The 12,970-nt window shown below is 50.9% G+C and overlaps 1 protein-coding gene across 5 annotated transcripts in view; it reads right to left on the bottom strand.

Annotated features, from left to right (window-relative positions):
* VANGL2 (VANGL planar cell polarity protein 2) overlaps positions 1-12,970 on the bottom strand; it is a 28,107-nt gene that overhangs the window by 3,924 nt on the left and 11,213 nt on the right. For 4 of the 5 annotated variants that reach the window (NM_020335.3, XM_011509804.2, XM_005245357.2 and 1 more), the window contains 6 exons: positions 8,839-9,099; positions 8,565-8,685; positions 5,138-5,745; positions 4,200-4,336; positions 3,560-3,695; positions 464-695 (listed from right to left, as the gene is read on the bottom strand). In NM_020335.3, coding sequence (NP_065068.1) covers positions 464-695; positions 3,560-3,695; positions 4,200-4,336; positions 5,138-5,745; positions 8,565-8,685; positions 8,839-8,909 — 1,305 coding nt within the window. In that variant the 5' untranslated portion in view covers positions 8,910-9,099. The other variant, XM_011509805.4, reaches the window with a different exon arrangement.

The raw sequence follows: 12,970 nt of genomic DNA, 5'->3' as shown, positions 1-12,970 counted from the left end.
AGCCAAAGGTGTCAAGGTTAAAGTGCAACATCTTTAGTTACCTGCTCACCAAGGGTGGCTCAGGGAAAGCAATTCTAGGAAGCTGGCAATAGAGTTGAAGGTGGGCAATGGCTCAAAATGACACAAAGCCAAGACCAGCTAGTGGAGGTGAAGAGGGTAATGGAGGTGAAAGTGGGCCTTTGGATCTGGTAATTCCGGAGCCCTCATAGAGATGAGAAATAAGTCTCAGCCATCCCCAAAATGGTCCTGAGGACTCCCTTCTCCTCATCTACCTAAAGACTTCACCCCACACAGATGGGGCAGGTGGAATAGGAATGAGAGAGAAGATTATAAAAAGGAGGTGGTGAGGAGAGAGAAATGAGGTGGACAGTGAGGAAAGTAGTGAGAGAATAAGGGAAAATGAAGGTGGGAAAGAAGAGGAGCTGGGGAAGGAGGAAGGATGCTGGCAGCAGGGCAGGCCTACCTTGGGCGTCATGTCATGCGTGATGCAGAATTCAAGGTGCTGCAGGATGCTCTCCATGGTGTGGTAGGGCTGCTGCTTGGTGGTCCGAAGGTACTTCTGCATGGCACGGGCCATGGATGCAAAGATGGCTTGGGCTGCCTCCCGGGGGTCCATCACCTCCCTGGGGTTTTTCTGCTCCTCTTCCTGCAGCCGCTTAATGTGAGTGAAGGCCTCCTCCACCGCCACTACAAGCCTAGGGGACAGGAGGGGACTGGGCCAGATGCCCACCTCTCTTTCCCCCACCCCACCCCTCTCCCCTAGCTCCAACACTCCAGCAGCCTGAATGAGGTCAGGCCTTTGTGCTCACCCAAAGTAATACAAAGCCAGAGGCAATAGTGCCTTTCTGCCACTGGGAACAGTAAACAGCCACAGAGTTCAGTGGGCCCAGCCCAGGGACTCAGAGGGCAAACCTAGTGTCAAACCCAGAGAGACAACTAGGAACTATGCTATAGGAAAGACAAAGCATTCCACCAAACTTTAAGGAAAACCTTCTTAAATAAGACCCCCAAATCATACTTCATTGGCTCAACAATTAATAGATATGATTACATCAAAATGACAGATTTCTGTTCAACCATGACAGCATGGGCAACATTAACTGACATCTGATGGAGCTGGGGAAAATATACACATCTAAAACCAACAAGGGATTCAGATCTAGAACATGCAAAGAATTTGCTACAATTTCTATCAAGAAGAAAAAGACAGGAAACCTAGAGAAAAAAGGGCAAAGGAGGTGAACAGAAAATTCACAAGAGGACTGAAAGGCTAAAAGATATACGAAGTAGTTACTGGCTAGCAATTAGAGAGATGCAAATGAAAATGTTAGTAAAATATTACTTTTCCATCAAAATGGAAAAAAGAAAGAAGGTAACTATAAACCAAATATTGGATAGGATGTTGGGAGTATTCCATGAACTACTATGCAGCAAAAAGATGCAACAAACTAGATGTACAGACAACTTGGATGAATCTCAAAAACACAGTGTTAAGGAGGAAGCAGGAAAAAAAAATCCATTTACATTAAAAGCATATAGATGGCCGGGTGTGGTGGCTCATGCCTATAATCCCAGCACTTTGGGAGGGTGAGACAGGTGGATCACCTGAGGTCAGGAGTTCAAGACCAGCCTGGCCAACATGGCAAAACCCCATCTTTACTAAAAATACAAAAATTAGCTGGGCATGCTGGTGTGCATCTGTAATCCCAGCTACTGGGGAGGCTGAGGCAGGAAAATTACTTGAACCCAGGAGGCGGAGGTTGCAGTGAGCTGAGATCATGCCACTGCACTCCAGCCTGGGGGACAGAGCAAGACTCCATCTCAATAAAAAAAAAAAAAAAAGCATACATACAGACACACACACCAACACCAACAAAGATCACTACACTAACACTAACTTTGCACAAGGATACATATAGCTTTTAAGGAAGTCAAACACACTCAACAGGATGCCTAAAATGTGGCGCTGGAGTGAAAGTGGGAACTGGAGGAAAAGAAGAAACAGAATAAAGAACCATGAAAAACTCTATAATGACAATATGTTAGAAGCTGAAAAGAGCAATTAATGCAATTATCTGCACTTCAAGTCCAAAAACCAAAATAAAAGCCCCCTGGCCTAAGAGCAGGACCAGCCTGAAGTGACAGGACAAAGAAAGAAAGTGAGGCCTTCTATGCAGAACCCAGGAACCTGAGTCATTTCAGATGGGACTCTGGGTATATAGGTGTGGATCTGTGTATGTCTATCATTTCTTCCTTTATTCTCTTGCTTCCCCTACATTTCTCAGTAAATTCCCTTTGAAAAGATCCTTTTATCTCAGGTAAACAAAGGAAAAAGTTTGCTCCTGGTTAAAAGCAAGGTAATGGGGAAAGGAAAGAGTCCTCTATGTGCCAAAAATGGTGGTGGCAGTACAGGAGATTGGATGACCCTGGTCAGGGCAGAAGATAAAGGGGTAGGGACATCACTGGTTTCCTTCCCAAGTCTCAGGCCATTTCCAAGACAATTAGAGACAGGTTGGAATGCCACAGAAATGGAGTTGGTGATCTTTGTTCTACTACAGGGGATGCCAGCCTCAAATAGGAACAAGGTAAGGGCTACCTCTTGCCCTTGAAGCCTGGAGTTCATGTGGGAGATGGGGCGGAGGCCAGGTGCGTGGTCAAGTCCTGAGGCACTCTGCTCCTCCCTCAGGGAACTCCCGACAGACCAAGATGGAACCCGGCAGAGTAGGCACCAAGTAAGATTCTTCAGGGTTGACTAAATTCACTTAATAATATGAATAGGGAAAGGGAGAAGCTAGGATGGCATTTAAGAATTTACCAAAATATAGGCAATAAAACGTCATTTTTTGAAGGCAACAAAAGCACCATCTGGTGAGTCCTCTCAAGATCTACTGGCAGGCAGGCTAGTCTAGCCTGAGTCCATGCTGTTGCAGGTAAAGCTCACATCCCTTTATTGGGTCCCTACCCCACTGTGGCAGGCAGAATTCAAAGATACCCTCCACTTCTACCAGACTCCCATCCCCTCATTAGACAACAATCTTGGTACATTTTGCAGATGTAATTAATGTGCCAAGTCAGTGGCCTTAAAAGAAGACTGTCCTTTAGGGCCTGATCTCATCACATGAGCTCTTTAAAATCAGCATTATCTCCAGCTGGTGGCAGAGGTCAGAGACCTGTTTCTGCTGGAAAAAAAAGTGCACTACCATCATGTAAACTGCCTATGGGGCTATGTGACAAGGCACTGAATTCTCCCCATAATAATGAGCTTGAAAGAGAAAGCATAGGCTCAGATGAGAGTCCTCTTGATTTCAGCCTGTGAGGCCTGAGCACAGCCTCCAGCCAGCCTGCACCTGACCCATGGAACTGGGAGATAATAAATGTGTGCTGTTTCACAGCTGCTAAGTTTATGGTAATCTGTTAGGGCAGCAACGGAAAACAAGCACACACCCCCAACTCATGTCATCATTGCCCTATATTTCCAGCAGTTACAGAAGTTCCTTGGTCTTCCTCTCCCCATTCACCCAACAAGCACCTCCTCTCCTCTTCTCCCCCAGGGACCCACCTGGCCCTCCTCTTGCGCACCCTTCGCTCATGCTCAGCCTCCTCATAGTAGTACTCATTGTGACTGTTGTCCCGCCTCCGAGCTGCCGCTGCAATCACAGCCCGAGACTGGCCAGTGGAGTTGTTGGTGCTGTTTTCTGCACAGGAACAGGATAGAGGAGATGGTCACATCAGAGTGTGGCCTCTCTTCCCACTCCAGGAGCTCTGGAGACAGCAGCCTGACATGTCCAGAAGAAGCTGTTCCCACCACCCAGCAATACCTCCTAATCCCAACCCTCCTGGCCACCTCTGGGAGAGGCCATAGGAAAGCAACAAGGAAGGCACTGGAAGCGCAAGAGTCCTGCAGTTGTTCCTCCCCAGTGCAGGGGGTTCTGCAGCTCCGAGAGCCAAAGGGCTTAGACCAGGGCTGATGAGAGACACAGAGGAGCCAGATCAGGGGACATGCCATAGCATAAAGGGACAGCAAGTAGGATGAGCAGCTAAGATCAGCCACCTGGAGTCAAGGGAAATGACTGAATAGAAGCGGCTAGAACATGGGCTAAGGAAAGGAAAAAGCAAGGGACAAAGGGTAAAAGAGAGGCGGGAACTTGGAGTCCTGCTTGGGAAGAGACAGGGAAGGGCAGAGGAGCAGGGCTGCTCACCCTCTCCGAGGGAATACACCTTGAAGCCAGACACTTTCTTGGCCAGGACGGACTTGGGCAGGTTGAGGAGGGCAGGGTTGTAGACAGGGAAGTCATGGTAATACTTCTCCAGGATCCACACTGCCACGCGCTGGATGCTGTGGGGGAGACGGCAGGAGGGGGTGGGAGAAGGGACAGACCAAGGGGCACAGGGGAAAGGGACACATTAGGGCAGGTTGGCAGGGCAGGAGAGGACACAGGACAGGGACAAGCTGCTTCCGAGAAGCCTGACTCCGGGCCTGAGGTCTACTTACCAGGCTCCCAAGCCTTTCCCAGGGCTGGGCCTGCCAGTCCCTCCCCACCATGCCAAAGCCTAGCAGAGAAAGGGCATTGGGCCTGGGTCCCCAGCCAAAGATCACCTCATCCCCATTCAGCGTTCCCCCAAGATCCTCTACAGGACCCAGGACGTGCCACTGATATTCTGTGTGGCCTCGAGGGGTAGCTTGTTTACTGGGAGCTGAAGAACTCTCCTCCTTATCTCTTTCTCTGGGGATCCCTCCTCTGGCCAGGTCACTTCACAGGCCACTCTGAGTGCTCACAAGAAGCTGCGCCTCCCAGAAAGGACTAGAAAAGGGATTCCAAAAAGCCCCTGTTTGTGCACCCCCCCATATTTCTTCCCTTTGGTCCATCCCCCTCTAATATTCCCTACCTCTAAATGCCTATTCATTCCCATCTCATAACTCCCAACTGATCTTGCCCCAAGACCGTGTACATGAACCTGCCTATCAAGCAGCAAACATTGGTGAAAACCTACTTGGTGCAAAGTACTCAACTCCCTCCCACACAACCCTCCAAGCCCATCACCTCCAGCCCACCATCATACCCTCCCACCCTAGCAGTCACTCCACATCCTCCCATGCCCTTTCCCTCCCAACCCTTCTCCAGCCGTGGGCTAGTACCTGAGATGGCCAACGTTGTAGAAGCGGCTGGCGCCGTCGGTGGAGCGCACGACCTTGAGCGTGAACTGAGGCTGGAGCTGGCGCAGCTCCAGCAGGACCACGGCCAGGTAGTGCACGAAAAGAAGGGCGTCCACCAGCGACACGGCGAACTGCACCACGCCCTGGTAGCTGCGCTCCCGAGCATCCAGGATGCGCACACCATAGAAGAGCCAGTAGGAGACCACGAGCAGGAAAACCAGCACCATAAGCAGGGCACGCAGCACAAAGACGCGGGGCAGCGAGGCCTTGGGCCGGCGGAAGAACAGAGCCCAGCTGCCCAGTAGCAGGATGAGCAGCTTGAAGGCGACAGAGATGAAGAGGCCCTCGCAGGCCGTCCCGCAAGGCTCCAGCTCCTCCCGCCACAGCAGTGGGGGCAGCAGCAGGAAGGCCAGAGGCGTGAGGAAAGACAGCAGTGCCAGGGTGGCCCCCGCTGCCACACCCAGGTGACGGGAGCAGTCCAGAGGGACACTGTCCTCCATGTCCTTGGCGATGCGTGTGAGGTCATCATGGGAGATGCTGTGCTCTGAGGTGCCCGTTACTACTGTCGTCGTTTCCCCCCAGTTGTCATCCTACAGGCAGAAGGGGGCCAGCCACACAATAAGGAGGAAAGGATAAGAAGAGGAAGAGGAGGGAAACAGGAGAAAGGGTGAGGGGACAGGAGACAGAGAAGAACACATGGGAAAGGAGAAGGCAGAAAGAAGAGAGGGTAATCAACAAATACGCAACCATCAAAGTATTTACTGAGCTCCAATGTGTGTCAAAGTCTGGCCTCTGCAGATGGCCAAATCCAAGACCCGAGCCCTCGGGGAGCTGGACACTGGTCAGTGAGAGAGGAAAAAACCACACATGCGGCAATGACCCTCAGAGCAGACAGCACAGGACAAATGCTGAAGATGCTGCTCAGGCAGTGACTGGGATCCAAGGGCAAACTCGCCAAGCAAAGCAGGCAGGCTTCCAGAAACCGTGGGACCTGAGCTGATCCTTGGGGGAAGGGGGCTCCAAGGAAGATGTTCTCAATCCCAGATGCACACATTAGAACACTTAGGGAAGTTGGAAAATAATGCTAATTATTGGAGAGTGCAATCTGCTTGTGAACCTTTAAAAAAAAAAAACAAAAAACTCCCCAGATGATTGTAATGGTCATCCAAGATTGAGAATCACTGAACTAAATGATTTCTAAGGGCTGGCTGGCTACTTAAAATGTGATCTGTGGACCAGCGGTGTGGACATCACCTGGGAGCTTGTTAGAAAGGCGGAACCTCAGGCCCACCGCATGTTTACTGAACCAAATCTGCATTTTAACAAGATCCACATGAATCACTCAAACATTAACATTAATTCTGGAAGTCCTGCTGGGCACGGTGGCTCACGCCTGTAATCCCAGCACTTTGGGAGGCCGAGGTGGGCAGATCGCCTGAGGTCGGGAGTTCGAGACCAGCCTGACCAACATGGAGAAATCCCATCTCTACTAAAAACACACACACACAAAAAATTAGCTGGGTGTGGTGGCACATGCCTGTAATCCCAGCTACTCGGGAGGCTGATGCAGGAGAATCGCTTGAACCCAGGAGGAGGAGGTTGTGGTGAGCAGAGATCGTGCCATTGCACTCCAGCCTGGGCAACAAGAGCGAAACTCCATCTCAAAAAAAAAAAAAAAAAAAATTATGGAAGTCCTATCTAAGTTCCTTCCAGCATGCCATGATTTTGGCAGAAGCTAGAGGAGGAGCCTCCAGGGCAGGAATGGCATGAACTGAGGCACCCAAGGGCTATGAGAGCAGAGGATCCCTGTGCAGAAGCACAGCAAGGTGCAACCAGGAAGGTAAGGCAGACAGCAGCCAGGCAGGGCTTGTGCAGGCCACGCTGCAGTGCTGGGCTGGGCAATAAGCACCTGTTCTCCAGGCATGGAGAGCCACTGAAGGAGTAAACCTGATCAAAGCAGCACAGAGAAGAACAGAAGACCCCAGGGGTAAAGGGGTGAAGGCGTGAAGGACACTGTGCAGACTCAAGGCCACTCTGGGTCTCTGGTCTGCAAGGCCACCTCTGCTGGGCCATCTAAATGTCTACAGTGCAGAGGCTACCTGTCTCTGGAGGCAAGAAGGTGGCCAGGCTGAGGTCCCCAGGTGTCCCTCTAAGTGTGGTCTGCTCAAGCTGTTTCTCTGCAGTGGCTGGAGGCCATCCCACGGAGGAGTCCCAAGACCACCAGCTGCCTTCAGCACCCACCCTTCGCTCCTGGGACAGCCTGGGGATATGGAATCACAACCTGACACCCAGGAGGTTGAGGTTACAGGATGAAGGCAGCCCGACAGCACCAGTGATTAGGGAGGTTGAGGAACCTCCTCTCTACAGGATGGGGAACGAGTCTGATGTGAAGATAGAAAGCAGATGCACTGACTGCCTTCAGCTCAAAGCCCTGGGTCTGCTCCCCGCCCTCTGACCCCTAGACATACTGCCCACCCCCTCCAAGGACCAAGGGCTTGGGATCTCCTCCCCAGTAGCAGGTGAGCTGGTCATGTCTCAGGGTCACTTCAAGAACTCAGGAGGCCAGGCCCCAGGAAGAAGGGATTGGGAGAGAGGGAAAAAGAACATTTCCTTCAGGTATTGACCTGCTCCCAAGGCCCAGGAATTCCCAATGTCAGCCACAGAGATTTCTTCTGAGGAAAAAGGAGCTGGGAATCTCCAGCCCCCAAAGATGATCCCAAGGGGAATGAGACTTGGGCAACCTCAGTGTCACCTAAAATCCTGCCTCTGCCCTATTCCAGGACTGTGTTCTGCCCACTGTCCTCCCTACCAGGTGAGCACAGTGGGCAGCAGAGGTTAGAATAGAAAACCTGCTCACCCCTGTCCTGGAGAACTCTCTCCTGGGGTCCCTGCTCCATCCCTCAGCCTTACTTCTTGTCCCTTGGGCTTTCTCCATCTACTCTTCCCATACTCCTTTCCCAAGATCTAGGTGACGCCATTCTACAGGCTGACACCAGAGGGCACAGAGTGCCCACATCTCGAGGCTCCAGGAATACTCAGCTTTGCTCACACATACCCCAGGCCCAGCCACCACCACCACCCTCCTGCTCCAGACTCCCAGCGGGCCTGACTGGCTGGCGGCAGCTCCAGAGGAGCTGGCCAATTCCCATCATACAGCCCAGGTCACCCCCCACTCCTCTGGAGATAAGGAAGGAGAGGCTGCTGCTTCCAGAGGGATCTCTATACTGAAATTCCTGAAGGTCCTACCTTAAGACACTAAGCCAAGCTAAGTGTAACACAAAACACACTCCCCGATCTGATGGCTGTCTGAGACCAGGTTTCCAAGCCCTCCCCCACTCCGTGGAGCCTCCAGCCCCTCAGGAGCAGTCTGAAAATGCCCGGTCTGGACCACCGCATCCCCAGTGCTCACCCGCTCATCCCCTCGTGTGGACTCATTGTCCAGCAGGGGCTCCCCGGGAGCCTGGATTGTCACCGACTTGTCCCCTCGGCCCCCATCTCGACTCTTAGAGCGGTGTCGGTCCCGGCGGTCCCTGCGGCAGGAAGCCAGAAAAGGCACAGAAAGTCCAGTGGTGGACCAGGGTCTTCTCAGCAGCCACTCTACCCTACCACCCCTGCACGTGCCCACCTCTTAACAGCCCCCAACCCTCCCTCCGCCACGCATGTCACCCTGCATGCCTGCCCACCTGTGCTTGCGGGAGCTGCGGGAGTGGCCCGACTTGTAGGAATAGCCCGAGTACTGGGACTCGGTGTCCATGGCGTCTGAACGCCGCGCCTTGTAGCGCTCCAGGGCCGCAGGCTGGGGCCTCTTGGGGGGCCCCACAGCCACCTCCTTCAGCACCGGCTTCTTTAGGCCAAGAGGCACCTTCAGGAAGTCAACTGTCACCCTGAGGGACTCTATTTTGCTGGACGGGTGGGCTTGTCTCAGAGAAAATCCAGCGACGCTCCTGGTGAGAGGAAGAAGCTAGTTAGAGGCGGCTCGAGCTCCCTGTGGGGTCAGGGCAGAGGAAGACCATCTGCACACAACAGCCACAGGAGGCTCAAATGAGCCCAGCCATAGCCTGAGAATATCTCCACCCAGGTTCCTGCTGTCCACTGGGCCCAGTTCCTCCTACCCTTCTCTAGAAAGAGCCCTGCCAGGCTGTGCCAAGGACTCAGGCATGGGGGAAGATGGCCAGCAAAGGCTCCCAGGGCAGGAAGGCTCACCCAGAATGACCCAACCCCAAGCCCTCTGGAAGGGAGGAGCAGGGCATTGCTTCCCTATTCTCAGCCAGGGAAACCGAGGCATGAAGAGGGCAGGTTCTGGCCAGGCCAACAGGCTGAATCAGTGGACACCTCAGAGAGCAGAAAGGAGCGGGCTTCTGTCCAGGGGCTACCCCAGGCCTCTTCTCCCCATGCTACACCTCCTCCCCTCACTCATACTTTCTGAGTGTGCCCACAGTGGGCTGCTTCCCTTGATACCATCTCCCCAGCATTTACTTCAAACACACCCAGTGTTACCGGTAAGATCAGGCTGGCAGCTTCCTTGAGGTTGCCACACATATGCACAGCCCCAGGTGAGGGTGAGGGGTGGAAACTATGGATAATATGGTAGGGGATGGGAGGAGAAGACAAGTTTCTACTTGCCTGAAGTTCTGAAACAGGCAAGGCACAAGTTTATCTGCCTATTTATAGGCTTATCTTCAACCATACTTCACCTTCTGATTCTGCAGAGGAGAATGACCTCTCCTCTCTCTAACCCCCACCCAAATCCTGCTCATTCTTCAGAGCCCGGCCCCACCCCCTCATAGGAGCCCCCACCTACTCTAGACCCAATGTTATCTTCCCTGCTGACCCTGACTCCCCTAACAGCCATCACCATCCACCGAGCGCTTACTTCCTATCTTCAGTCATTGACGCATCAAATCTTGTTTGAGCACCTTCTATGAACCATGTATTCTGCTAGGTATAAAGTGGTATAACAGACCCTGAGTTTACAGTCTAGCAGGGAAGGGGCACACCAAACAAGTAAGCAGATAAGTATAAACGACCGATTGCAGGCATGATGGAAGGGCAGAACAGCAAACTATGAGAGACACCCATGGAGTAAGGGCTACCACTTTAAACTTAGCGGTTCTAGAAAGTCTGAGAAAAGGACACCTCAGCAGAGGCCTGAAGAAGAAATAGGAATTAACCAAGCAAAGAGTGCAGGAAAATGCCCATGGAGCAGAGGAATCACATGTGTGAAGGCCAAAGGCAGGAAAGAGCTTGTTGTATTTAAAGAACCAACAAAGGCCAGTGGAGCTAGAGTTGAGGAAGAGAGTGGGTGGTAGAAGGTGGCACTGCAGAGACAGCCAGGCACCAGGTGAAGAGCTTGAGCTTTATTTTATTCTAAGGCCACAGGAAAACTTTGAAGGATTTTAGCTATGCAGATATGGATTGAAAAGAGGGAAAAATAGAAACAGGGAGATCAATAAGGAGGCGACTGCAGTAGTACAGGCTTGCTAAGGGTAGAGCCACAGAAGAGTGAGTAACAGTCATGTTTGAGACTTAATGTTGGTGGTCAAATCAACAGGACCTAATGAGCGGGAAGGGAGAGTTAAGAATCCCCGGCCTGAGCAAGGGAGCAGATGGTAGCACCATCAGTAGGGTAGGGAAGACTGGGGAGGAAGCAGCCTTGTGAGGGAAGATAATTAGTTCAGCTTCTAGCCTGCTAAGTTAGTGGCCATGAGACAGTAGGCAGCCAGGTGTCAGACGAGCCAGACTTGGAGGACAGTCTGAGCTGGAGGTACTGAGTGTGTGAAAAGCTATGGGGATAGATAGAACTCAGATCCAGCTGAGTTCAAAACCTAACTCTTCCATGGACATAAAGGACCCCAATAGGTAGACATGTCCAGAGGAAAAGGAGCAGGCAAAGGGGATGAGAAGGCCAGAGGAGGAGGGGAGCCAGAAGAGTGGGGTCTCAAGGCAGCCAGAAATTTAACAGTGTTTTGAGGTGGGAATTAAGTCAACCAGGTCAAATGCTGCTGAGAGGCTGATTATGTTAAAAACTAAAATGGGGCCGGGTAATCCCAGCCTGTAATCCCAGCACTTTAGGAGGCCAAGGCGGGTGGATCACGAGGTCAGGAGTTCAAGACCAGCCTGGCCAAGATGATGAAACCCCGTCTCTACTAAAAAGCATGGTGGCAGGTGCCTGTAATCCCAGCTACTTAGGAGGCTGAGGCAGAGAACTGCTTGAACCTGGGAGGTGGAGGTTGCAGTGAGCCGAGATCATGCCACTACACTCCAGCCTGGGCGACAGAACGAGACTCCGTCTCAAAAAAAAAAAAAACCTAAAATGGATTTGCTTTGTATCATTACCTTTACTCCAACTACTCTAAACCATCAGTAATTTGAGAATAAGCAATATGATTGATACATATTTATATCCATCTCGCCTCCCATGGGCACAGAGCAAGGAACTGATACCAACCTAGTAAATGAACATAGTCATGCCTCGCTTAACCACAGGGATACTTTCTGAGAAATGTGTCATTAGGCAGCTGCATCCTGGGAACATCATAGAATGTACCTACACAAACCTTGACGGTATAGCCTACTACACACATAGGCCTTATGGTATAGCCTATTGCTCCCAGGCTACAAACCTGTACAGCATGTTACTGTACTGAACACTGTAGCCAACTGTAACACAATGGTAAGTACTTGTGTACCTAAACATAGAAAAAGTACAGTAAAAATACAATAGTATAATTTTATGGGACCACCATCATATATGTGGTCCATCGTTGACCAAAACATCCATGACTGTATGCCTCTCTGGCTCTCAGGGAAACTATAATGACTGTAGGGAGATGAAAGCATGTGAAATCTATTCATTCATCTTCTTAACAGAGTTCAATGGAGGCAATCCTCCATAGGATTAGTTATATTTGTCAGTATCCCCATGTCAAAGCACGTGCGTGATAAGGACACACTTAGAGGACAGGGACATAATACCTTAACCCAACCATAAGCCTTTCCAAAAAACTTTGCAGCAAAAATGACCCTTATTTATCCCCCTACCTGAAAAATATATGTTGGGCTCATCTACCCACTCTCCTGAGGACCCATTCTACTGGCCTACTCCTCCTTATAGTTTAGACATCTGACCTGCATTTCTCTTGTGGTTCCAGCCTATTCTTTCTAGTCTTCTTCATAAAAACTGAATTTTGCTAGGAGGCTCAAAGGCAACGAGTGGGTCACAGAGTGACATGGGGGTAGAGAAGGGGGTGGAGAAGTAAACAACTGCCACGGACTAGAGTCTAGACACACACACTAGATCCCAGGCTGTCCATCTCCTCATCCTCCTGTATACCCATCATCTGCCAAAGCCAACAGCCAGAAGAGCCAGAGATGTGCACTCAAAGATCTGAGTTCAAAACCTAACTCTTCCACTGACTAGCTGTGTGACTATGTGCAAGTTACTTAACACCTCTGTGCTTGTAGCCTGGTAAGCTCATTAGTAAAATAGTGAAGACAATGATGCCTTTTCATGGGGTAGCCGTAAGGATCACGAGGGTGAAAGAAGTGCTTTTATAAATGGTTCAGCTAGTAATTAGTTAAGCAATTAACAAGTTTTAGCTCCAGGATCACTCATACTCCAATCCTCAGACACTTCCTCTGAGACTAGGGAAAGAGGTGGTATAAATAAACCCTGCTGTTAGTACAACTAAATAAAGAAGTCTCACACATACACACACACACACACACCAACCAGAACCACCACTTCAAACACACCCAGAAGGTAAACTGATGCCATTTCATTTCCCCTACAGATAAATTTCAAACCAGACAAGG

Source organism: Homo sapiens, chromosome 1 (assembly GCF_000001405.40).
Source record: "Homo sapiens chromosome 1, GRCh38.p14 Primary Assembly".
Classification (NCBI taxonomy): domain Eukaryota; kingdom Metazoa; phylum Chordata; class Mammalia; order Primates; family Hominidae; genus Homo; species Homo sapiens.
This window is presented reverse-complemented; position numbering and strand designations above follow the sequence as displayed.